The 24,199-nt window shown below is 39.4% G+C and overlaps 1 protein-coding gene across 2 annotated transcripts in view; it reads right to left on the reverse strand.

The window, feature by feature from the left end:
* Positions 1–23,135, reverse strand: part of AKAIN1 (A-kinase anchor inhibitor 1) — a 54,781-nt gene extending 31,646 nt beyond the window's left edge. The window contains exon 1 of one of the 2 annotated variants that reach the window (NM_001330553.2): positions 22,896–23,135. In NM_001330553.2, coding sequence (NP_001317482.1) covers positions 22,896–22,932 — 37 coding nt within the window. In that variant the 5' untranslated portion in view covers positions 22,933–23,135. Of the gene's footprint in view, positions 1–22,481; positions 22,702–22,895 lie in introns of those variants that run through there. The other variant, NM_001145194.2, reaches the window with a different exon arrangement.
* Between the last annotated feature and the right edge of the window lie 1,064 nt (positions 23,136–24,199).

Below are 24,199 nucleotides of genomic sequence, written 5' to 3' on the forward strand. Positions count from 1 at the left end.
ATGGCAAAACCCTATCCCTACTAAAAATACAAAAATTAGCAGAGCATGGTGGCGTGCCCTTACAGTCCCAGCTACCTGGGAGGCTGAGGCACGAGAATCGCTTAAAGCCTGGAGGTGAAGTTTGTGGTAAGCTGAGACTAGGCTACTCCTCTCCAGCCTGAGCAACAGAGGGAGATTCTGTCAAAAAAAAAAATGTAGAAAGCAATTGTCTCAGATGGAGTGATCGTGACATTTGTAGAACAGAGCAGACTCCACCACGGGAACAACTCTACTGAAGAGGAGGAAACTGGCCTCATGTGCAGGCCTCAGATTCCCTGCAGAGACAGAATACTAACCTTTCCAGGGTGGTCACTGATTTGAGGGACTATCCTGTGCACAGTAAGAGGTTTAGCAGCATTCCTAGCCTCCCTTGACCAGATACCAGTAGCCAGGGCCAGCTTCAGGGGTAGGTAGCCAGTGTAGCCGCACAGGGTCTCACACTCAGAGGCACTCTGTGCTTGGTTTAATGTTCTGCCATTGCTGTCTTAAAATTCTTAATGATCTTATCTTCATAAGACTTGCATTTTGTAAGTGAAATTCAATGGAACAATGGAACCCCACCTGCAGAGAGGAGATGTGTACAATTTGTCACTCCTTGCCTCCCCATTTGTATACTCATAAGGCCTTAGCAATGCCCCACAAGCACAGAATTACAGTGGCTCATGATGCATGTGAGTTCAGTGAGACTTAAAGCCTCAAAGTTAGTAGAAGGTAAGCACAGGACATCGACAACTGAGTTGTAGGTAGGTGGAAGGCCATGCTTTCTATTAGAACTATAACTTGCTTAGAACACGAAAAGAGATCATGGCATCCTAGGAAACATAAACAACGAAGGGACCCTATCATGTTCTTTCTTGCTCTTGTTACTTCCCTATATTGGCCAACAACTTACACTGAAAACAGTGACATAGAAGGCAAGGGAATGGCAGAGAAGTGCTTAGTTCCTTTTCCTTTCAGCCCTTCCTAACTCATCAGTGAGCCAAAGGTAGAGCATGTTGGTAGAACATGTGCATATCAGGAAGTGAAAGAAAAACGGTTCAGTAAGTTTATGCAGCGTTTCCACTGTTCTGGTAAGAAATACATAACCATGTACGAGCTATGAAACTCAACTTGTACAATTTTAGTGATTCAGCATATGAGTTTAATTTATATTTGAAACTAGTATTGCACAGTATTAAAATGAATAATAAAATTCATGCTCATAACTTTAAATTATAGGGTTTTTTTTAACTTAGTTAAACATGAAGCGGCAATTTCAAAACACCATGATATGAGGAGACAGAGAGATTAACAGAAGTAAGAAAAACTTTAGATTTTAGTGCATTTAATGATATTTTGTCCTGCTTTTTGAACAACAGCACCACATTTCCATTTTGCAATGGACCCTGCAAATTATGTAGTTGGCCCTGTCAGTAGTACTCCTTAGTCATGACAAGGGAAAATGTCCCCAGACATTGCCAAATGTCCCCTGGAGAAGGGAGAGAGGAACAAAATCACCTCTGGTTGAGAACCACTGCCCTAGACAGTCTTTACCAAACTGACAAATAAAGACTGGTAAATAGGCTGGGCACGGTGGCTCACGCATGTAATCCCAGAACTTCAGGAGGCCGAGGCAAGTGGATCATTTGAGGTCAGGAGTTCAAGACCAAGCTGGCCAATATGGTGAAACCCCATCTCTACTAAAAATGTAAAAACTAGCTGGGTGGTAGTGGTACATGCCTGTAATTCCAGCTAATCAGGAAGCTGAGGCAGGAGAATCGCTTGAGCCTGGGAGGTGGAGATTGCAGTAAGCCGAGATCGTGCCACTGCACTCCAGTCTGGGTGACAGAGTGGGACCCTGTCTCAAAAACAAACAAACAAACAAAAAAAACAAACTGGTAAATAAAGACTGACAGAACTTCAATTGAAAAAGTGTTATGGAAGCCAAGTGTTTAAAATCCTGTAGACACTGTAGGATTCAAGTGTTATGATAAGATGCCAACATTTAAGATCATTTCCTGAATGTTTGGTGCCTCCCAATGTTTGGTGTTTTTCTGTCAGGACAATGTGAGATTAGAAAAGGATGAGACACATCTCTTTCTTTCATAAAAAGAGAAAAGAGCAATTATGAAAAGTAATGGCTAGATAATAAAAACTGTAGGTGTTTCTCAAGCAACTTTAAGAAAAAACACGATAACAACAAATTCTAATTCTAAGAAATTCTAATTCTAAGAAAAACTAACTCCCTTAAAATTCTCCCTGCACCTATATACTGCTTGGAAATTCTAATTCTAAGAAAAACTAATTCCCTTAAAATTCTCCCTGCACCTATATACAGTCTGGAAAGTCTTCATGTACTTCCAAGGGTATATATAATTTAACTCAGACACCCACTGTGGCTTCAGGATATGTTGGTCTCGGGATGCAATGAAATACAGCAGTTCCCAAAGGCCAGTACCCAATGGAATCACAACCTCAGCTAGCCCAGTGGCAGTAGTGGGCTCAGTAAGATTGCTCATTAAAATGCCTAAGGATATCATAGAATTCTCTTTCTTACAGATTTATGCAAAGTGAGCCTTCAATTAAAGTTAAAAATCTTAAATGCAAATTGTAACTCAAATTTATATATGATGTATCTTCTACTAAGCAGATTTTATAATGTTTCTCTTTAAATCATTATTGCAACCCTATATGATAAGAAAGAAATTATTATTACTATTCTATAATTAGGTAAACTGAGATTCAGAAAGATGAAGTAACTGTCCTCAAATCAAATAGCAGGTAAGTAGAAAAACCTTGTATTAAAACCAAGTTTCTGATTTCAAGCCAAGCAATGTTTTCCTATGCCATGATTCCTGTACACCGGCCTTATTTTTTAGGGGATGAAGACATTTTACATACATGTTTTCTATTTTCCATATATATATATATGCATACATATGTATACCTATATCTATAATTACCTTTTATAGAAGTTTGACAAACATTTAGGCAATTCAATCCCAGAACCCTCTAAACAAAGTAAGATACTTAGCACATTAAATAACATTAAATATTTATTTTCAGACTCATGCACTGTATAAATACTCTATAAATAATAAAAAATGCTGTTTTTATTTCCCATATATAAACTGCTTCTAAGTTAAGTCGTATGACAAAAATAGAAGCCTTGAACCTAACTTGATAATATACTTACCTCAATAATTTCCCTGTTTGAAATCTGCAGTGGTATGCCCTTCTGAAATGTGGCACTAAGAACACTGCCCCTATTTCTTCATTTGACCTGGATGATTGTCTGAAGGAACATCAAAAGCTGCTTAGAACATCACTGGAGAAGACACAGTGTCAACACTGCCTGAGGAATTCCTGAGCATAAATGTTGTGGGCCCTGTCTTATTCCTTCCTCAACTGTGACTCTTTATCCATCTAAGAGTCACGCCTGCAAGCAAACAGCCAGGCAAGAAAGACTGTTCCTAAAGTCCTCAGTGCACATCCAGGTTGGTGTTGCTCGGGGTGGCTGCATGCTCCTGCTTTCTGCCCTGTGTTTTGGAGGACTGTACATCATCCACTAGCCTAACCAAAGCAGGACTCATCTGCCTAAGGACAGACAGACCCTCCTGCTTATTGATATGCATGGTTTTGTGCATGCTATGGTAATTGAATTATTGAGATTTCACCATGAAGAAGTGGGACAACCTGGGCATGGATGGTGGCTGGAGCCTGTAATACTCTGGAGGCTGAAGCAGGAGGATTACTGGAGCCCAATACCAGCTTGGGCAACATAGCAAGACCCCATCTCAAAAAAAGGAAGAGGGACAAGATCACTGTCAGTATCTAAAGAGTGGCAATCCTGCAGAGCTGCCAATGACCAGAAAGGTGTGTTCTTCAAACCAGGGCTAGGCTTGAGGGGAAAGGCCCCTATATGAGCAGCAGAGTTAGAATCTTCTCTCAGTTTATACTTAATGGGAAAACTATGAGATAAAAAGAAAGATGATCATTTGTTCATTCATTTATACGACATGTACAGAGCACTTGTATGTGCCAAGAGGAGATGCACAAGGAGATGGAGAATAAAGAATCAGGCAAGCCACCTGCCTGTTGTGCCTGCCCTTAAGAAGTTAGATCTGAACTTCTCAACCCAACCACACAGTCAACTTCCTGGAGAGCTTTTAAAAAATCCTTATGCTTAGAACACTCCCCTAGAGATTTTTATTTTACCAGCCTGGGTGGTTCCCAGAGCTTTCCAGGTGCACCCAGCACTGATAATCCCTGAGCCAAAGCACAGATAGTAATGGGGTGAGCTGGAACAGGAACTAAGAAGTAAAATATATTTGCAATCAGATAAAAATTCTGCCCCTTTAAAGGTATTGGTATGCCAATTTTCTTTGGGTTTTCCCTTCGTATTATTTAATAAAAGTCAACCTCAGCTATGGTTAGAGAAACTAAGGAGAAAACATGTCTAACCATGCTCAAAGCACCATTTTTTAAAATCGACTAAGGAGATAAGAGTGCAATTTTGTTACAAGAATATATTGATTAGTGGTGAAGTTTGGGCTTTTTGTGTAGCCATCACCTGAATAGTAGATTGTACCCATTAAGTAATTTCTTATCTCGCACCCACTTCCTGCCTTTCCACCCTTGTGAGTCTCCAGTGTCTATTACTTCTCTCCTTGTGTCCATGCATACACATTATTTAGCTCCCATTTGTAAGTGAGAACATGTGGTATTTGACTTTCTGTTTCTGAGTTGTTTAACTGATAATGGCCTCTAGTTCCAGTCATGTTGCCACAAAAGACATGATTTCCTTCATTTTTATGGCTGAGTATATGTATGTATGTATGTATGTGTGTATATATATATATATGTATACCATATTTTCTTTATACAATCATCTGTTGATGGATACTTAGGTTGATTCCATATCTTTGATATCTTTGCTATTGTGAATAGTGCTGCAATAAACATATGAATGCAGGTATCTTTTTGTTATAATGATTTATTTTCCTTTAGGTAGATACCCAGTAGTGGGATTGCTAGATCTAATGGTAGTTCTAGTTTTAGTTATTTGATAAATCAGGAGCCTGGCACACCTTCATCCTGTTCTGGTGGTGGCAGTGGTCATTAAAAGAAGATAACTTCAAGTAGAAGATAAACTTCAAGGGCTTAAGTTAGGACACACATCAAATACATCTGCTCCCCTTAGAAAGTTTCTTTTCAGCTCTTTAATATGCTCCTTCCTCGAGGACATCTTTATTGTTGTTTAAAGGCACTGAAGGCCATTTCTTTATAAGGTATATTTACGTACCTAAAAGGACATGACAAAAGGACTCTCTTTCACCTTCAGTAGCTTCTCTGTCCCCATCCCACACTCCAGCACTCACAAACAGAGCCCCATGCTTGGCCCAGTGGTGCTAAGGGATTATCAGTTGAAAAGGGTTTCTTTACTGGAGCACAGCTTTAGCCACCCCCACTGCATGCTTCCCAGGAGGACTCAGACCCAGAGCAAGACACTCACTTTCTTCCCAAAAGAATTGACCCATCTTCCTCTCCAACCTGCTTTGTTCTCTGCCCTTCAATCACAGCACTCTGACACTTTAGTGTCCTTCTTTATATTAAAGTCCTGCCTACTACCTAGCAGAGTACATAGTTCACAGAAGATAGGCAGCAAATATTTGTGAAATAAATGAATCAAATTATATAAAGTGTTTATCCTCCATACTGCCCACCTATTTATGGCCTTAACTGATATCTTCAGCTCCATTCCCACCAAGGCTGCTGTTTTCTCTTTTCCCAGGCCAGGTGCATGTGACTGAGAGGTTCATGGGGAGAGACCTGCCCCTGTCTAAGGCAGGTACATGGAGGCGTGGTCATACCAGTTCTTTCTACTGATGGCCAACAGCTCCACTCAGCTAGCACTGTCCTATAGGCACAACAAAGAATGGCAAGATAAGAGAAGCCTTACATGTTGTGCTTCTTGACGTAAGTTATTTTTAGAGTAAAGTAACTGTTAATTATTAACTTGTATAGCATGACCTGATCAGGTGGTGAAATAATCTACTCTGAAGCATGAGTCGGATTGCAATTAAGGCTGTAGGGAACTTCATTCTAAATTCCCTGGTTGGAGAGTGATTAAAATCTCTTCTACAGTATGGCAATAAACACATAATTTCCTTTTTTATTCCCCCCAAAATGCAAAAATAAAATGGGAAGGCAGGAATAAGTGCACAAGAATGTTAGAAATAAATTCCATGGAGATAAAAATTAACAACTTGTGTCAGGCAACACAAGATGTGGATTCCATAGAGCCCTCCTGTCTAAATGTCAAACAGACTCATTATACTTGTCCAGAATAGAGATATTACATTCATAATTTCATGGTATTTCTGGAGTGCCACAGCAACACTTCTCTTAGTTTGAAAAAAAGAAAATACAGCCAGGTGTGGTGGCTCATGCCTATAATAGCAACAATTTGGGAAGGTGAGATGGAAGGATCCCTTGAGCCTAGGAGTTCAAGATCAGTCTGGTCACTGAGTGAAACCCCATCTCTTAAAAAAAAAAAAAGTAAAATTTAGCCAGGCATGGTGGCACATGGCTGTAGTCCCTGCTACTCAGGAGGCTGAAGTAAGAGGACTGATTGAGACCAGGAGGTTGAGGCTACAGTGAGCTGTGATTGCACCACTGCACTCCTGCCTGGGTGACAGAGTAAGACCTCATCTCAAAAAGAAAATAAAAGAAGTATAATTTTTTAAAGGAATTGAGAGAAGGCACTTTACTTTTGTCTGCTCATTGCAGCAAATCCATCAGCTGTGACTATTTGGAATATGGAACAGCATTTTAGCCACATGTTAAAGAAAGACAGTTCTACTTTGGCATTTACTTATATAAAGTCGTTCCTTGCTGAAAAGTACATGTGATACATGTGGCACAGAGTAGGTCTTATACAAATGTTAGCTCCCTTGCCTTTTCTTACATTCATCTCATCTGCCCAGTAAAGGTCATTAGTGAGAGCTAAGATGCTAAACCTCTAAGGATGCTGAAGATGATGATGTGGAACAAGATTTTAAAAGAGGCACAGGAGTTATATTAACTAACTCAAAGTCACATAGCAAGTCACTGCTTTTGAAGAAAACACCAACCCTCTCCTAATCCCTAGCTAGTGACTGCATGGTTGTTTCACCAACAAGGTTTGTGGCTTCTTCCTAAGAACATTCAAGACCAAAGATAATGATCAAAGAATAGTATCCAGGAATATATGTATCTGGCTCTGATATAAGACCACAGGATGGTAATGTAGGTCCTAATACCTCACAATACAAATTGACCCTACCTAAGTAATGAAGTATTAAAAACATAATGCACTATACCCTCACCAGAAAATCATCATTCAGGGCCATTGAGTGTACTTACACGTTCATCCTCATACCTAAACGTATTCAGCTTTTAAATATAGACGAGATCAGAATTATTCAGATCAGCAAGATGGCCATCTGCTTTCAAGCATGCAGCTGCTAGCCTTTAAACAGCAACTTTCCATGATTCATAACTTATTCATCTCAGGATGCACTCAGACATCTGCTTTATCATCAGCCTAGCTTATTGTAGCATTTTGCTTTAAAGTTTTAATGTCTGCACAGGTAACATAGTGATCCAGTAAGTTGGGTCTTTTTCCACAGAAAGAATCAACTCTTTAGCTCCTAACTGATGATCCAATGTTGAGATCATCCACATGCAAATGTATATAAGATGCACATTATTAGTTATTCCTCTTTAAAACAACAATAACATCAGTAATAGCTTCCATTTAGCCGACCGTGGGCTAGGCAATTCATCTTTATTTTCACTACCACTCTGGAAAACAGATATTATGATATTCATTTTTCAAATAGGCATATCAGCAAGCTTGGATAATTTACCCAATGCCACTAAATGTGAAAGTGACAGAAATTAGTTGTTTGAACCCTGACCTATGTGTCCCCAAACCCAAGCTTCTGCAACAACCAACTTTGCTTCATATTTGAATTGCTATGGAATAACTGAAATACTCTTATCAGTTTTATAGAGAAGGAGAGACTATAACTAGTCCAATTCCATTGATTTTCACCTCAAGAAAGCTCATGCATGTGGCACTTAATTAACATAAATGCTTTCAAAACTACAAAGCACGGTGTGAATTTATTAGGTCTTCTTAGTCTTCTAGACAACTTTTGGTGATTCTGGCTGTCTATTCTTTTACTCTCCATCCCTGACAGCAGCATCCAGGAGTACATGAAGAATCTAGGAACTGTGCAAGGACAGAGTCCATTTCTCTGCAAGAGAGAAGAGCATCTTATATCCTCTAACTCTGAAGAAAAGGTGCTGGACATACGGAAGATTCTTTCTAAAGACACCAGTTTTACCTAGTGCACATATTTTTTTTTGTCCCTAACTCTATTTTGCAAATTGTTTGTTGCCTCCTAGTTAATAACTGTGCTGCATACAGAAAAAAGTGGCCCAACTTTCAAATCCTGGTTCTGCAAACTAAAATAGGTCAGGCATTTAGAGCCTCACTTTTATCATCTGAAAGGAAAAATATAAATAATGGCACCTTTTGCTCTATGTCTTTTTTAAAAATGATACATAAAAGACAACTGAATGACATGAAAAAATTAAGAGTACATTGAGTAAACAATCACATCAAAAAATAATATGCATGTCAGGATAAAATTTTTGTTACAAAAATAGAAAGATATATTCATACAGACAAAGGATAGGAAATTATATTCAACATATTAGTAATGACTAGTTGAATGATACTGTGAGTGATTTTTATATTTTAATTTGGTTAATTATGCTTTCTAAAATTTCTGAAACTACAGCAAAAATTTTCAAATGATGAAATATAATTCAATTTTAAATGGTAATGGAAAATCAGAAAATATAGTAATTAGAGAAGAAAGACATGTAGGCAGTCAGTAGCCAACTTAAACCACCTTTAAAACTGTATGCAGTTGATTTAAAAAGCAAAATTTAAAAAAAAACCCAGTGTTGACTATAATGCAAAAGGTAGTTTAAAAGTAAAAATGAAGGAAAATAATGCAAAGTTGATTCCTGTTATTCACAGTTGTTATTTTCTATAAAGTTACTGCAAACACTTAATTAGATCATATGAAACCATTGCTCTTAGGAAAAATCAGGATTAGTTTCCCATGAGCCTCTATCACAATATTTTTTACAATTGAGCAATAAATACACAACCTTGTTTAATATATGTTTCTGTTTAAAGATACCTTACTTAACATATGCTGTTGATTCATTAACATTGATTTCACAACCAATAGTACTGTAACTCACGGCTGAACAAGCTGACCTAACACATGTATTTTCTCCATAAGGCACATCACAGGCTTCTTGTGCTTGGAAACACTTCAGCACTACATTCAAGAGTCATTTTAAACAGTGAAATCACTAACAAAAAACACCAAAATATGAAACACATGGCACTAATAGAACACGAAAAGAACATTTGTTTATAGTATCAGAGCTGGAACAAAGAGAGAGTGTTCAACCTTAGCTAGGAATGTGTTAGGTGGCTCAATTTTTTTGCCACTCTGCACATGCCCCACAATGACAGCAAAAGTGCTGCACTGATTTGAGGGTTACAAATAAATTTTAGGGAGTAGGCAAATTTGCAAATATGATATTCACAAATAATGAGGATCCACAATATCATTCAAACACTAACCAAAAGAAAGCCGGTCCTAGTCAACATAGTACTAGAAGTCCTAGCCAGAACAATCGGCAAAAGAAATAAATAAAAGACATCAAATAGGAGGAAAGTAAGTCAAACTCTGTCTGTTTGCAGACAATATGATTCTATCCCTAGAAAATTCTGTAGTCGCTGCCCAAATGCTCCTAGTTCTGATAAACAACTTCAGCAAAGTTCAGGATACAAAATCCATGCATGAAAACCAGTAGCATCTCTATACACCAATAACCTCGAAGCTGAGAGCCAAATTGAGAATGCAATCCCATTCACAATAGACACAAAAAAGAATAAAATACCTAGGAATACAGCTAACCAGGGAGGTAAAAGATCTCTACAACAAGAATTATAAAACACTGCCCAAAGAAATCAGAGGTGATACAAACAAATGGAAAAACATTCCATGCTCAAGAATAGGAAGAACCAATATTGTTAAAATGGCCATATTGCCCAAAGCAATTTACAGATTCAATGCTACTCCTATCAAACTACCAATGACATTCTTCACAGAATTAGAAAAAAACTATTTTAAAACTCATATGGAACCAAAAAATGGTCCTGAATAGCCAAGGTAATCCTCAGCAAAAAGAACAAAGCAGGAGGCATCACATTATTTAACTTCAAACTATACTACAAGGCTGCAAATAACCAAAGCAGCATGATACTGGTACCAAAACAGACACATAAACCAATGGAACAGAATAGAGAGCCCAGAAATATTACTGCACACCTACCACCACCTGATCTTCAACAAAGTTGACAAGAACAAGCAGTGAGGAAAGGACTTTCTATTCAATAAATGGTGCTGGGATAGTTGCCTAGCCATATGTGGAAGATTGAAACTAGACCCTTTCCTTGCATTATATAAAAAATCAACTCAAAATGGATTAAAGACTTATATGTAAAACTTAAAACTATAAAAACCCTGGAAAATAACCTTGGAAATACCATTTGGGACATAGGCCCTGGCAAAGATTTCATGAAGAAGATGCCAAAAACAATTGCGACAAAAACAAAAATTGACAAACATGACCTAATTAAACTAAAGAGCTTTTGCGCAGCAAAAGAATCTATCAACATAGTAAACAGACAACCTACAAAATGGTAGAAAAATATTTACGAACTATGCATCCAACAAAGGTCTAATATCCAGAATCTACAAGGAACTTAAACAAATTCACAAGCAAAAAATAAACAACCCCATTAAAAAGTGGGCAAAGGAAGTGAACAGACACTTTTCAGAAGAAGACATACATGTAGCCAATAAGCACATAAAAAATGCTCAACATCACTAATCACTAGAGAAATGAAAATTAAAACAACGAGGTACCATCCCACAACAATCAGAGTGACTATTCTTAAAAAGACAAAAATAACAGATGCTGGTGAGGTTTCAGAGAAAAGGGAATGCTCATACACTCCTGGTAGGAGTGTAAATTAGTTCAGCCATTGTGGAAAGCAGTTTGGTGATTTCTCAAAGAACTTATTTGTCCCAGCAATCGTATTAATGGGTATATACCCAAAGAAATATAAATCATTCTACCATAAACACACATGCAGGTGTATGTTTATCACAGCACTATTCACAGTAGCTAAGACATGGAATCAACCTAAATGCCCATCAACAGTAGACTGGATAAACAAAATGTGGTATATATACACCATGGAATACTACACAACCATAAAAAAGAATGTCATCATGTCCTTTGCAGCAACATGGATGCAGCTGGAGCTGTAGGAGCTGGAGCTCCATAGATGCACGGATGGAGCTGGAGGCCATTATCATAAGTAAACTAACACAGGAACAGAAAACCAAATACTGCATGTTCTCAGTTATAAGTGGGAGCTAAATATTGAGTACACATGGACACAAAGAAGGGAACAACAGATACCAGGGCCTACTTGAGGGTGGAGAGTGGGAGGAGGGAGAGTATAAAAAACTGCTCATCAAGTGCAATGATTATTACCTGGATGGCAAAATAATCCGTACACCAAACCCCTGTGAAATGCAGTTTACCTGTGTAACAAACTTGAACATGTACTCCTGAACTGAAAATAAAAGTTGAAAAAAAGCACTGGATTTATTATCAGTCTAAATAACATTCAGAATGAGGTTACTAGAAATAAAGAGGGACACTCTCTAACAATAAAATGGCCAATTCACCAAGAAGACATAACAATCTCAAGTGTACATGCATCTAATGAGAGAGCTTCAAAATACATACCACTAAAAGTGGTAAACCAAAATGAGGAATGGAAAAATCCTCAATTTTTTCTAGAGGTATTAGTACTCCTCTTCTAGTAATTAATATGCCAAGTAGGCTGAATATCAGTAAGGATATAAAAGAGGTAAACAACACCTTCAACTCACTGTATCAAAATGACATTTATAGAGCATTCCACCTGAAAGAGTAAAATATACATTGTTTTAAAGTGCATGTAAAACATTCACCAAGATAGACCACATTCTGGCTTATAAACATACCTTACCAAATTTAAAACAACTGAAACAATTGCAAGTTTATTATCCAATCATAATAGAATGAAACTAGAAATCAATAACAAAAATTCATCCAGAGAATTCCCAAATAATTGGAGGCTAAACAATACACTTCTAAATGATCCATGGGACAAAAAGGAGGTTTCAAGGGAAATTAGAAAATATTTTGAAATGAATGAAAATGAAAATACAACATCAAAATTTTTAGAATACTCTAAAGCAATGCTTAGCTGGAAATTTATAGCATTAAATTTGCTTATTTTAGAAAACAGAATGATCTAATATAAACAATATAAGTTTTGTCTTAAGTCAAGAAAAACAAGAGCAAAACAAAGTCAAAGCAAGAAGAAAAAAGGAAATAATAAAGAGCAGGAATCAACAAAATTGAAAACAGGAAAAACAATAAAGAAATCAATGAAACTAAGAGATGTATCTTTGAAATGATTTTAAAAACTAATAAACCTGTAGCCACGCAGACAAGGAAAACCAGATAAGACACAGATTACTAATATCCAGAATGAAAGGGAAATGTCTTTGTCCATTTTCTGCTGGTATAACATAATACCTACAGACTTGGCAATTTACAAAGAACATAAGTTAATTTGGCTTATGGTTCTGGATGCTGGGAAGTCCAAAATCATGGCACTGGCATCTGGTGAGGATCATCCCATGGTGGGAAGGTGGAAGGCAGAAGCACATATATGAAACAGAGAGAAATGGAGCCAAACTTATTCTTTTGTCAGGAGCCCACTCCTGCAATAACTAACCCACTCCTACAATAATGGCATTAACCCATTCATGAGGACACAAACTTCACAACTTAATTACCTGTTAAAGGTCCCCCCTCTTAATGTGGTTGTTACAATGGCAGTTAAATTTAAACATGAGTTTTGGAGGGACATCCAAACTACCGGATCCCACCCCTAGTCCCTCAAAACTCATGTTCTTCTCACAATGCAAAGTATATTCATTTTATCCCAATAGTCCCAAAAGTTTTAACTTATTCCAGCATCAATTCAAAAGTTCAAAGTCCAGAGTCTCATCTAAATCAAAGATGGCTGAGATTCAAGGTGTGATTTACCTTGAGGCAAATTCCCTCTAGCTGTGAACCTGTGAAATCAAAACAAGTTACCTATTTCTAAAATGCAATGGTAGGACATGCATAGGATAGGCATTCCCATTCCAAAAGGGAGAAATAGGCCAGAAAAAAAGGGTTAACTGACCCCCATGTAAGTCCAAAACCCAACAGAAAACAACATTGAATGTTAAAGCCAAAGAATAATATTCTTTGACTCAATGTCCTGAATCCTAGGCACCCTGGGACAGGAGTTGGGCCTCAAGGCTTTGGACAACCTTTCCCTCATGGTTTTGGTGGGCTCAGTTCATGCTTCAGCTCTCTTGGGTTGAAGTCTTTTGCCTGAATCTTTCCCAGGATGGCATTTTATGCTGGTAACCCTACAGTTCTGTGGTCTCAGGGGTGGCCTCACTTCCATGGATCCACTTGGCATTGCCCTACTGAGGAATTCTATGGCAGCTCCACCCATGGGCAAGTTTCTTCCTGGGCACCAAGGTTGATTATTGTTAAGGACAAACCTCCCCAAAAAAGCTTCTTGGTACAGCTGACACTTCCCCTAAACCTCTCCGTGCTGCCCACCCCTCCCCATTATGCTTTGCAACTCTTCTCTGTGCCACCCATCCTTCCCCCTGAGCCCCTTTACACTTCTAAGCCCTTATGTAGGTGCCACAGTGAAGCCAGCAGACTTTACCTATCAGGCCTTGCTGCAAACCCTTGCTTGTAACCCTAATTACAAGCCATCCAGACTGCACAGGGGGATGTCATGGGAAGCATAAACAAATTTTACCTACACCCTCCTGTAAATTCTACCATAAATGTCACAAAGTGATATGTGGCAAAATTAACCAGCAAACAACCCCGGGATGTGGCCATACCAAAGAACTCCCCCAAACTCCCCTACCCAATATAAACCCCTCATTTTGTAAGCTCAGAGCTGCTCCTCTGACTGTTAAGAGGGCAGCCAGCAGGTTAATAAAGGCTTGCCTGAACTTGGGTCTCCTCTCTCTTTTGTCCATTCTCTCTCAGCTGACCTTACAATTATGACTTTCTTTGAAATCTAGGTGGAAAAATGCATGCCTTCACAGCTTTTGTATTCTTGCACTCGCAGAATTAGCTTCATGTAGATGCCACCAAGGCTTACAGCTTGTACCTTTTAGAGCAGCAGGTAGAGCTACACCTGAGCCCATTTGAGCCATGGCTGGAGCAGCCAAGGAGAGTTATGCTGAAATGTAGGGAGCAGAGACCCAAGACAACTCTGTGCAGCAAGCCTGTGGAGGGCACCTCATCCCCATCCCCCAAAACCATTCTGCCCTCTTAAAGCTCTCAGCCAGGGATAAGAGGGACAACCTAGAAGATCTTCGAAATGCCTTTGTAATCTTTCTCCCATTGTCTTTATGAATAGCACCTGGCATCCTTCTATCCATTGTAATCTCTCTAGCAAATGATGACTTGGCCACAGCATTCTGCCCTCTGCATTCTCTAACAAACACACTTTTTCACTCTTTATATAGCCAGGCTCTTAATTTTTCAAATTTTTCTGCTCTGCTTCCATTTTAATTATAAATTTTGTCTTTAAGTCATTCCTTTCCTCTTACATCTCACTGTATGCTATTAAAAGTAACCATGCCAGATATCCTAATTCATCACTCTTAAATTCTGCATTCTGTAAAGCTCTCAGGCATGGACACAATTCAGTCCATGTCCTTGCTACTTTATAACAAGGATGGCCTTTACTCCAATTTTCAACCCCTTGTTCTTCATTTTCATCTGAGGCCTTATCCTTTACCATCCATATTTCTACCAACATTCTGGTCACAACCACTTAAACAATCTCTGAGAAATTTCAGACTTTTCCTACAGCTCTCTTTTTTTTTTTCTGAGCCCCCACAAGAATCACCTTTAATGCTCTGTTCACAGCAATACAGACTTTTCTAGTCTGCTCCTCCAAATTCTTCCAGCTCCTACTCATTACTCAGTTCCAAGGTTGTTTCCATATTTTCAGGTATTTTTATAGCAACAGTCCAACTTCTCAGTATCAATTTTCTGTCTTAGTTCATTTGGTGTTGCCATACCAAAATACAACAGACTTAGTGATTTATGCGGACAAGAAATTTATTTGGCTCACGATTCTGGATGCCAGGAAGTCCAAGAGTATGGTGTTCATATTTGGCAAGGGTCACCCCATGGTGGAAGGCAAAAGCAAGCATGTGAGACAGAGAGAGTAATGGGGCTGAAATCATCCTCTTATCAACAGCTCACTTCTGCGATAACTAATTACTCACTCTTGCAATAGTGGTATTAATCCACTTATGAGGGGAGAATCCTCATGACCTAATCACCTCTTAAAGGTCTACTTCTTAATACTGTTATAATGGCAACTAAATTTCAACATGAGTTTTGCAGGGGCTATTACTATAGAACCCATGTATATTAAATAGAAAAGAGAATATTACAAACAACTGTATTCATGAAAATTCAACAAATTAAATGAAATAAGCAACTTTACTAAAAAGCTACTGAAATTCACTCAAGATAAACAAAATAAACCTATATTTACTAAAAATTGAATTTATAATTAATGACCTCCCTATGAACAAAACTCTATAACCATATAGTTTTACTGGTGACGGAAACATTTAAAAAAGAAATTATACAATCGGTCTTATATAAGCAGAAAAAATTGAAAAATTCACATCATTTTCTAATAGTAGCCCAATCTGTTTGTGCTACTATAATAAAAATATCATAGACTGGGTAGCTTAAACTTTAGACATTTATTTTACACAGTTCTAGAGGCTAGGAAGTCCAAGATCAAAGTGTCAACCAGTTCAGTTCCTGGTGTGTGGCTCTCTTCCTAACTTGCATATGAATGCCTTCTTCCTGTATTCCCATATGGCAGAGAAAGAGATAATATCTCTCATGTCTCTTTCTGTAAAGTTACTAGTTCCATTTATAAGGGTCCCACCCCCACGACCTCTTCTAACCCTAATTATGTTCCAAAGGCCCTACTGCAAATACCATCACAGTAGAGGTTAGGGTTTCAATATGTAAATTGGTGATGAGGGAACATTTGAAAATATTCAACATCTATTGATGATAAAATCTCTCAGCAAACTAGGAATAGAAGGAAACTTCTCTAACCTAATAAAAAGTATCCACAACAAAACAAAACTGCAGCTAATTTCATGCTTAATGGTAAAAGACTGAATGCTTTCCCCTAAGATTGTAAACAAGGCAAGAATGTCTTCTTATTACTCCTATTTAATATTGTACTAGAAGCACTAGTCTGTACAAAAAGGCGTAAAATTAGAAAAGAAGAAATAAAACTTTTTTCAAAGTACCTGCCTACATTTAAAAATCCTAAGGAATCTACAACTTATCTCTTACAACTAATAAAAGAGTGAAGCAAGAACATAGAAAACAGGGTCAACATGCAAAATTGAACCATACATAGTATAAACTAGCAATGAATGTGCGGACATCAAATTGTTTTTAAATTACATGTACAATAGCTCCCCCCAAAAGATACATTTAGGTATAATATAGCAACATATGCAAGATCTGTATGCTGAAAGCTACAAAATTCTGATGAAATGAAGAAGAGCTAAATAAACTAAGAGACACATCTGTTTATGAATTGGGGCTCAACATAGTTAAGAAGTTCATTCTCCACACACTGATCCATAGATTTCAGGAAATTCCATCTAAATTTAGGCAGGATTTTATGTAGATATAGGCAACCTGACTCTAAAATTTATATGGAAAGGTAAAGGAACTACAGTAGCCAAAATAATGTTGAAAAAAAAAAGTTGGAGGACTTACACTATTTGGTTTTAAGACTTACTGCAGGTTGAGTATTCCTTATCCAAAATGCTAAGGGCAAGAAGCATTTTAGATTTTGGATTTTTTTCAGATTTTGGAATCTTTGCATATACATAATGAGGTATCTTGTGACTAGGACTCACGTCTAAATACAAAATTCATTCATATTTCATATATATCTTATGCACATAGCCTATACGCATATATTTCTTATACACATATATTTCATATACATCTTATACGCACAGAAGGTAGCTTTCAATGATATTTTAAATAATTTTGTGCATCAAACAATGTTTGTGTTAAGTATGTGTGGAGTTTTCCATTTGTGGCGTCATGTCAGTGCTCAAAAAAGTTTCAGATTTTGGAGTATTTTGGATTTCAGATTTTTGGATTAGGCATGCTCCACTTGTATAAAACTATAGTGATAAAGACAGTGTGGTCTTAATGAAAGGACACACATATAGATTAATTCAACAGACTAAAGGTTTAAAAATAGATGCTCATAAATATAGTCAATTAGGTTTTGTTGTTGTTTGTTTTTAGGAAAAGGATCTTGTTCTGTCTTCCAGTCTGGAGTGCAGTGGCTCAATCCTACCTCAAAAAGGATCCTCCCAGCTCATTCTCCCTAGTAGCTGGAACTACAGGCATGTGCAACCACACAGAGCTAATTTTCTTTCTTTCTTTCTTTCTTTCTTTCTTTCTTTCTTTCTTTCTTTCTTTCTTTCTTTCTTTTTCTTTTCTTTGGTAGAGACAAGGACTATGTTCTAAAATTTCCCTGGCCTCAAACAATTCTCCTGCCTTGGCATCCCAAAGTATTGGGGTTACAGAAGGTGCTGTCTATGAGAAAGTGGGCCCTCTCCACACATCGAATCTGCCAACATCTTGGACTTGGAATTCCAGCCTCCAGAACTGTGAGAAATAAATTTCTATGATTTGTAAGCCATTCTATCTACGGTATGGGGTTGAAGCACTCCCAGTGGTCTAAAACTTGGTATGGTTTCATTTATACAACAGTCTGAAAAGGCAAATCCATGGGGATAGGAAAGAGATCAGTGGTCACCAGAGATTGGTGGGGTGAGGGGGAAGGGGGAACGGTTTGACTACAAAGGGGTAGCACAAGAGAAAAACTAAGTGCAATGAAACTGTTTTGTGGTCATTACATGAATCTATACATATGTTGAAACTCATATAACTCTATGCCAAAAAAGCCAATTTTTCTGTATGTTAATTTTTAAAATAATACATAAATAGAAGTTGAAAGACTATGCTAACAGAAAAGAATTTTTTTGTGTTGGCACATTGTAAACCTCACAGTTATGACAGTCAGATATATAATTTGTTTATTTATCAATGTGTCAGGAATTTGTTAAGAGGTTTATATAAATGAATAAAAGTTATAAATACCTTGCAATAAATACTTTCTTATATGTATTTGGAAATTCTTTCTAGAAATATTGGTGCGAAATATTTTTCAGATGAAGCTTAGATGTCAAGAGACTGGCTGTCTTTTTGCTTACAATTACACCATTTTTATTCCTCCATGAAATCCTTGTTATCATACCTTGCCTAATTTTTATGCAAGAAAAGAAATATTTTTATGTTGGCAATTCACCTGACTTGAAGGCAATCCAAGCAAATCAAGTATATATTAGGCCTATCCACAAGAAAGATAGACTAATCCCTGAATTATATATTAATCATGAAAGAAAGTGGGGAATGGCCCAGGGATAAGGTAACTTCTGCCCTCACTTTCCACCTCACACTCTGTTTCTTCTTAGCTCTTCCTCAAGGAAGAAGGAATTTAGGAAAAGAAACCTGATTGTTCAGAGTCTGGAATTCTTTGGGTGAAACCATGGTACTGAAAAGGCATTTGAATTTGTGAACATTCCCTCTTTCTCTTCCTGGAATTAGGCCAAGAAATATCCTGACATTCTCTTGTGTACTTTGTCACCTTTAATACCAATGGTCAGTGGTCTTTCTTCCTTGTTCCTCATTGACTTTGCCTACAAATTAGTAATAATTCCTTGATATTTCCCCACAAAACCAAGAGCACTGTATTAGAAGTACAGAACTCCTCCCAGAAATGTTTTTCCTCCTGAATGTAAGATATTGCTATAGCCACAGCCTAAATAACCTGGATCAGTTTAGTATTATGGGACAAATATATTTCTCCATATTGGTTGTGTCACCCCCTTTCCTTTGGCCCTGGTAGTATGCTTCTTAGCTTTCTCATATTGCTTTTGAAATTTTCTACGTTCAGTTTATGGGGGTGGGAGGAGGAGGAATAAAGCAATTTAGGAAAAGGAAGCAAGAGGCCTCATTTTAGTCTTTAGCCTAAGTCATGTAGCCTAGCTTAGTTTAACTTCTATTTAGGTATATATGGTACTTACACAGAAATTAATATATATGTATACTTTATACCTCATTTAACTGTTAATAATTTCGTATAGTTCCTTTAGACAGAAGCATAAATAAATGATGGGCTTCAAGTAATTAACTCCTTAAAAAATTAGTAGTCATGCCCCTTACCTTCAAGGGGTTTGAAAACTGGCATGCACAAAATTAAAACCCTCCTAAATTATAGTCTATTAATAATAAGAGAAAGAGGAAAAAATAGAATTGAACTGTCTGCCTCATGCAAACTGAAAAACAACCCAAATACCCTGTCCAATTTAAGCTGTATTCTTTACAATCTATAGACTAACTGAAACAAAAAAATGTAAGAATATGTTATGGCATATAAGACTAAATCCTAAATAGGGTTAATAAAGTCTCATTCTAATTCCCCCTCATTCCATTGTACTTCTGGACTAGAACTTGTTCTACAAATATCTGTCACTCTTCACCTTTGCCTTTAAGGTAAAGAGCCAGGAGAATCATTCAAAGGGAGACCAGTTAGCTGAGGCAAGTTCAGAACTGTACCTCAGGGTTCTTGCCCTCCTGTGCTAAAATCCAAAAAAGCTACAATGTGTTTTGAAGGGCACAGTACCCACTGACCCAATTTTATGAATAGCTCCTTGTTAATTTATTGTTATATTCATCTTGGCTTATATAACACCCTTTTAATAATTTTGGAGTGATCTTAGCACATGACCCTGTTTCTTCCCTTTCTGAGTGTTAGGTTAGCTTGAAAGAAAGGGGTGGGAGTGTATTTCCTTTAACTAGTACAAAACATCTGGATTCCCAGATTATTATAGAGATTTAGAAAAGCAATAGGCAAGAAATGAGGTTGCAGTGCTGAAAATCTGGCGGAGTTCAAAAGCAATTCATTGTTCTGCTTTTCTTTCAGAATAATACACATCACTATACGAATTAGAAAACAAATGATCCATAGATGAGAAGGTAAGTTGACACAGTATTTTTAGCATCCTGTTCTTATTGTCCCAAATGCTTATGATTTTTCAAGAGAACCCCAAAATTGAAGAAGTGATGAAAAAAAAAGTTTCCCCAGACGTTTCTGTATCTATCCTATCCAGGTCAATTCACGCCATCTCTGACAGTTATGAATAACTTCTACTTTCCACACAGAACAAAACACTAATACAAAACTTGAAAGTAAAATGGAAAAGTAAAGTCCTGTCCAAATTGTGGGCTCTTTAAACCAAGCCAGTCTACTCCAGAAATTCCCCACTGTTCATTACAGTGGCCATCACTCACGATCTTGCTTTTAGAAAATGCCTAGTTAACATCACGCAACAACCCTAACTCTTGTACAACACCATATCCCTCCCCTCCTTGGAATGGAAAGGATATGCTGAGTCTCTGGCTACATCTGACCTTGGACCAAAAATCATCTACCCCTGGAGCCAGTGAGATATTTTGTCAGGAAGAAAGGTTGTGGGAGAAAAAGACAGAATTCGAGGTCAGAAAACTCCATTAGAGACTAGCAAGATTATCTGGAACCAGCCTCCCTGGGGATGGTAGAGTAGGAATGATATTCCTTAACTCTCAGGGTAATTAGGAGATCAAATGAGATAGCAGCATGAAACTGCTTTGTAAAGTGTTAAGTGCTGTATAAATGCAGCAAAGAGCTGTTTTCCAACTTCCTTGCTCCAGTGTTGATTGAATGTCCTTTGCTATATGGAACAATTTCCTCCCTTGAGTTATTTAGGATGGGCATGGGAAGAGCTCCTGGGCATTCCTTTAAGGCGTTCCTCTAAGAACCACTGCCTGTGGTAAAGCCAGAGCCTACAGAAACTCATCCCTCCCTCCCCAGCTAGCATTCTGAGGGGGAGGGGGAGGGGACTGACTTGCTCTTCTCAAGTTTTGCTAATTGAATTTTTTGAAGAAAAGACTCAATTCTTCCCTTTAAAAAAAAATGCATTACGCCTTTTCTCCCCAGCCATCTGAAGCCCATGACCACAGCAAATACATGCCAATCTTTCAAGTTAAAGACCCCAGGAACAAAGCTAGAGAGTTCTAGGCCCCTCCAGCCTTCCCCACTCCCTGTTTTCCACAGCAGTCTTTAACGAAATCAGACCCTAAAATGCGTGAGAGAGAAATACTTTGGATCTACCCCTAGAGACAGCGTCGGACGTTCACAACGACCACGCTTTTCCCCGCTTCCTCGATTAGCCTGGCCTCCCTTGCTCCAGTGGGGCGGACTCAAATGCGCACGCACGCACACGCCGCCAAGCCGGTCAACCGCAGACAAATCTGACTCTTCGCCAACTAGTAGCCACGGAGAGCAGCAAAGGGACCAAGGTCCTTCACCGCCTGCTCCAAAAAGACACGGCAACCTCCAGCGGCGCCGCAGTAGCTGCCTCTGTGCTGCAGCCTCCGGTCGGAGTTTCAGGTCTAATTCCTTAAGAAGTATCGCTCCTCTGCCCTTCGTCCTACTCCCCTTGGCTTCGCCCACTTCGCCTCCTTCTCCTCGGGAGGCCAGGAGGACCCGGGTCACTTTGCCAATTCTGCGGAGGGGGAAGTAGCAGTGAGGGAGATTCCCACGCAAGTAGCCCGAAGCCCACTACTCTTTGCCCCACCTCTCCACTCTCTTGCCCGTGTAGGTGCCGGTGCTGCTGGCGAAAGTCCCAGTTCTTAAGGCTCCTGAGCTCGGAAGGGGTGTGGAGGAGCCAGATGGGAAGAGAAGCAGCGGGACGAGGGCGAGGAAGGGCTGGAGATTGTTAGAGGACAGATGGGGCGGGACTGGGGAGAGGGGCGAAGGCGACGCGCCGAGGCACTCCTCCGCCCCATGAGCACAGACAGTAACTCCGAAACGCGCAGATGGGCCGTAAGGTAAAGAGGCCTTTTTTCCCTCTCCTCTCCGTCCTCTACCCTGCTCCCCTCCTAGACACTTGGTGAAAAAGCAAGGTGCGGTGTACCTGGAGCGAACACCATGATTTCTTCCAGCCGCTACGCCCCCAGATTAAGAGAGAAAGACAGGCAGACGGAGGATGGGAAGAAGGCCGGACTTGGCGGGGTCCGGTGCAGGAGGGCGCGCTGGGCGGGCGGCGGGCGGGGCGGTCAGCACCCCGGACAGCTCCCGCCGCTAGATCCTGGGGCCGCAGCTCCAGCCGCCGCCGCGCGCTCTGCCTCCACAATGCGGCCACAGCGGCGGCGGGAGGAGGAGGGTGAATCCCCGCTCAGTCCATCCCTCATTCCTGTGCCAGCTCGGCGACGTACACTGCTGCTTAGGGAGCAAAGCACTTCCACCGCTTTCACGCGACGAAGGTCGGAAGAGCAAGAGAGAGAAAGGTAAACTTCCCGGCAGGGGACAGTGAATTGCTTTTAATTACCTGCTGTGGCTCGTCGCCGTGGATATTGGACTGACATTTAAGATAGATTTGTCAAAAAAAAAAAACTCTAAGAGCTTTCTTTACTCTCGAGGATGACTCTGAGTTCTCCGAGTTGGGCTGGCTCGAATAGAGGGGCGGGTCTGTCAAGTTAATAGGTCCTGGAGGTCCGTGAGTCCTCTCTCGCGAGTCCCAGTCCTCTGCTAACGTCAGGAAGAGAGCAAGAGGAAGGACACAGTGACTATGGAGCGCTCGAGGAGGGCGCTACTATCAGGTTCCGCTCCCAGGTGGCAAATCCGGCTCTGAAAGCTCCTAAGCTTGAAGGTCCTCAAGGTCATCACTTTAGAAAAAGCAAGGCCGGCCAGGGCACAGGAAAGATAACGCATACACCCTTCACAAGGAAGAGCCAACAGAGCCCCCTGCAAGTGTGAGAACAGCCCTGAGATCAATCAAGAAACATCAGTTCTTCCCCTATCCTCACCCAGCTGAAAACTGTCTGCATGCCCCGCTCATACACCCAGTTCTACCTTAAAGGTACTGGGACTGCCTTATGCTCACTTCATCCTCCTAATCATTGCTCACTTTAGGTATCTATTCCCTAATAATGTCTGTGCAGTGTGAACAGCCCACACTAGATGTCACCCAGCTTGAAACAGGTCCATGTGGGTTACAAACCCAAAGCTAAAGCCACCCAGAATCCTCCAGCCTCTCCCCTATTTTTCCAGCTAAATAAGGTTTTCCAAGAACAAAGGTAATCAAGGTCATCTCCAGTGTTTTATGGGGTTTCTTCACTTGCAACTATCCCTGGAAAATGTAACTATTCTGAAAATTAAGTATTTCCTGATAATTGGTTGATGGCAATAAGTTCTACAGTCTTTTGGCAAATATAAAGCATCCAAATAGACTGATTGGCACTGTTTTTTTTTTAAAGCCATCCGATAGACTGAAAATGCAAATAGTTTTACAGCTTTTGAACTACAGTTTGCATGAAGGCATATGGGCAGCCTCAACATAATACAATCAGTACTGCTGTTAGCACCTGGCTCAACACAGGCTTGAACATATGGGGCCTACCCCAGCAGCAGCAAGATGAAAGTCAGCTGATGGGCAGGATAAAGCGTGTGCATGACAGGATAGAGTTCTCCCATTTTGCCAAGTTTCTCCAATGATGCTTCACTCTGTCTTCTTTTCTTCATCCCACGGGAAGTGTAAAACAGTATTTAAAATAATTTTGGAATGAAAGGTGTTTTTCTTGTAACACACTCAAAAGGGCTGTCTTTTACAGCCCTTATGTTTAAATGGGCTTT

This window comes from Homo sapiens, chromosome 18 (assembly GCF_000001405.40).
Source record: "Homo sapiens chromosome 18, GRCh38.p14 Primary Assembly".
Taxonomy (NCBI): domain Eukaryota; kingdom Metazoa; phylum Chordata; class Mammalia; order Primates; family Hominidae; genus Homo; species Homo sapiens.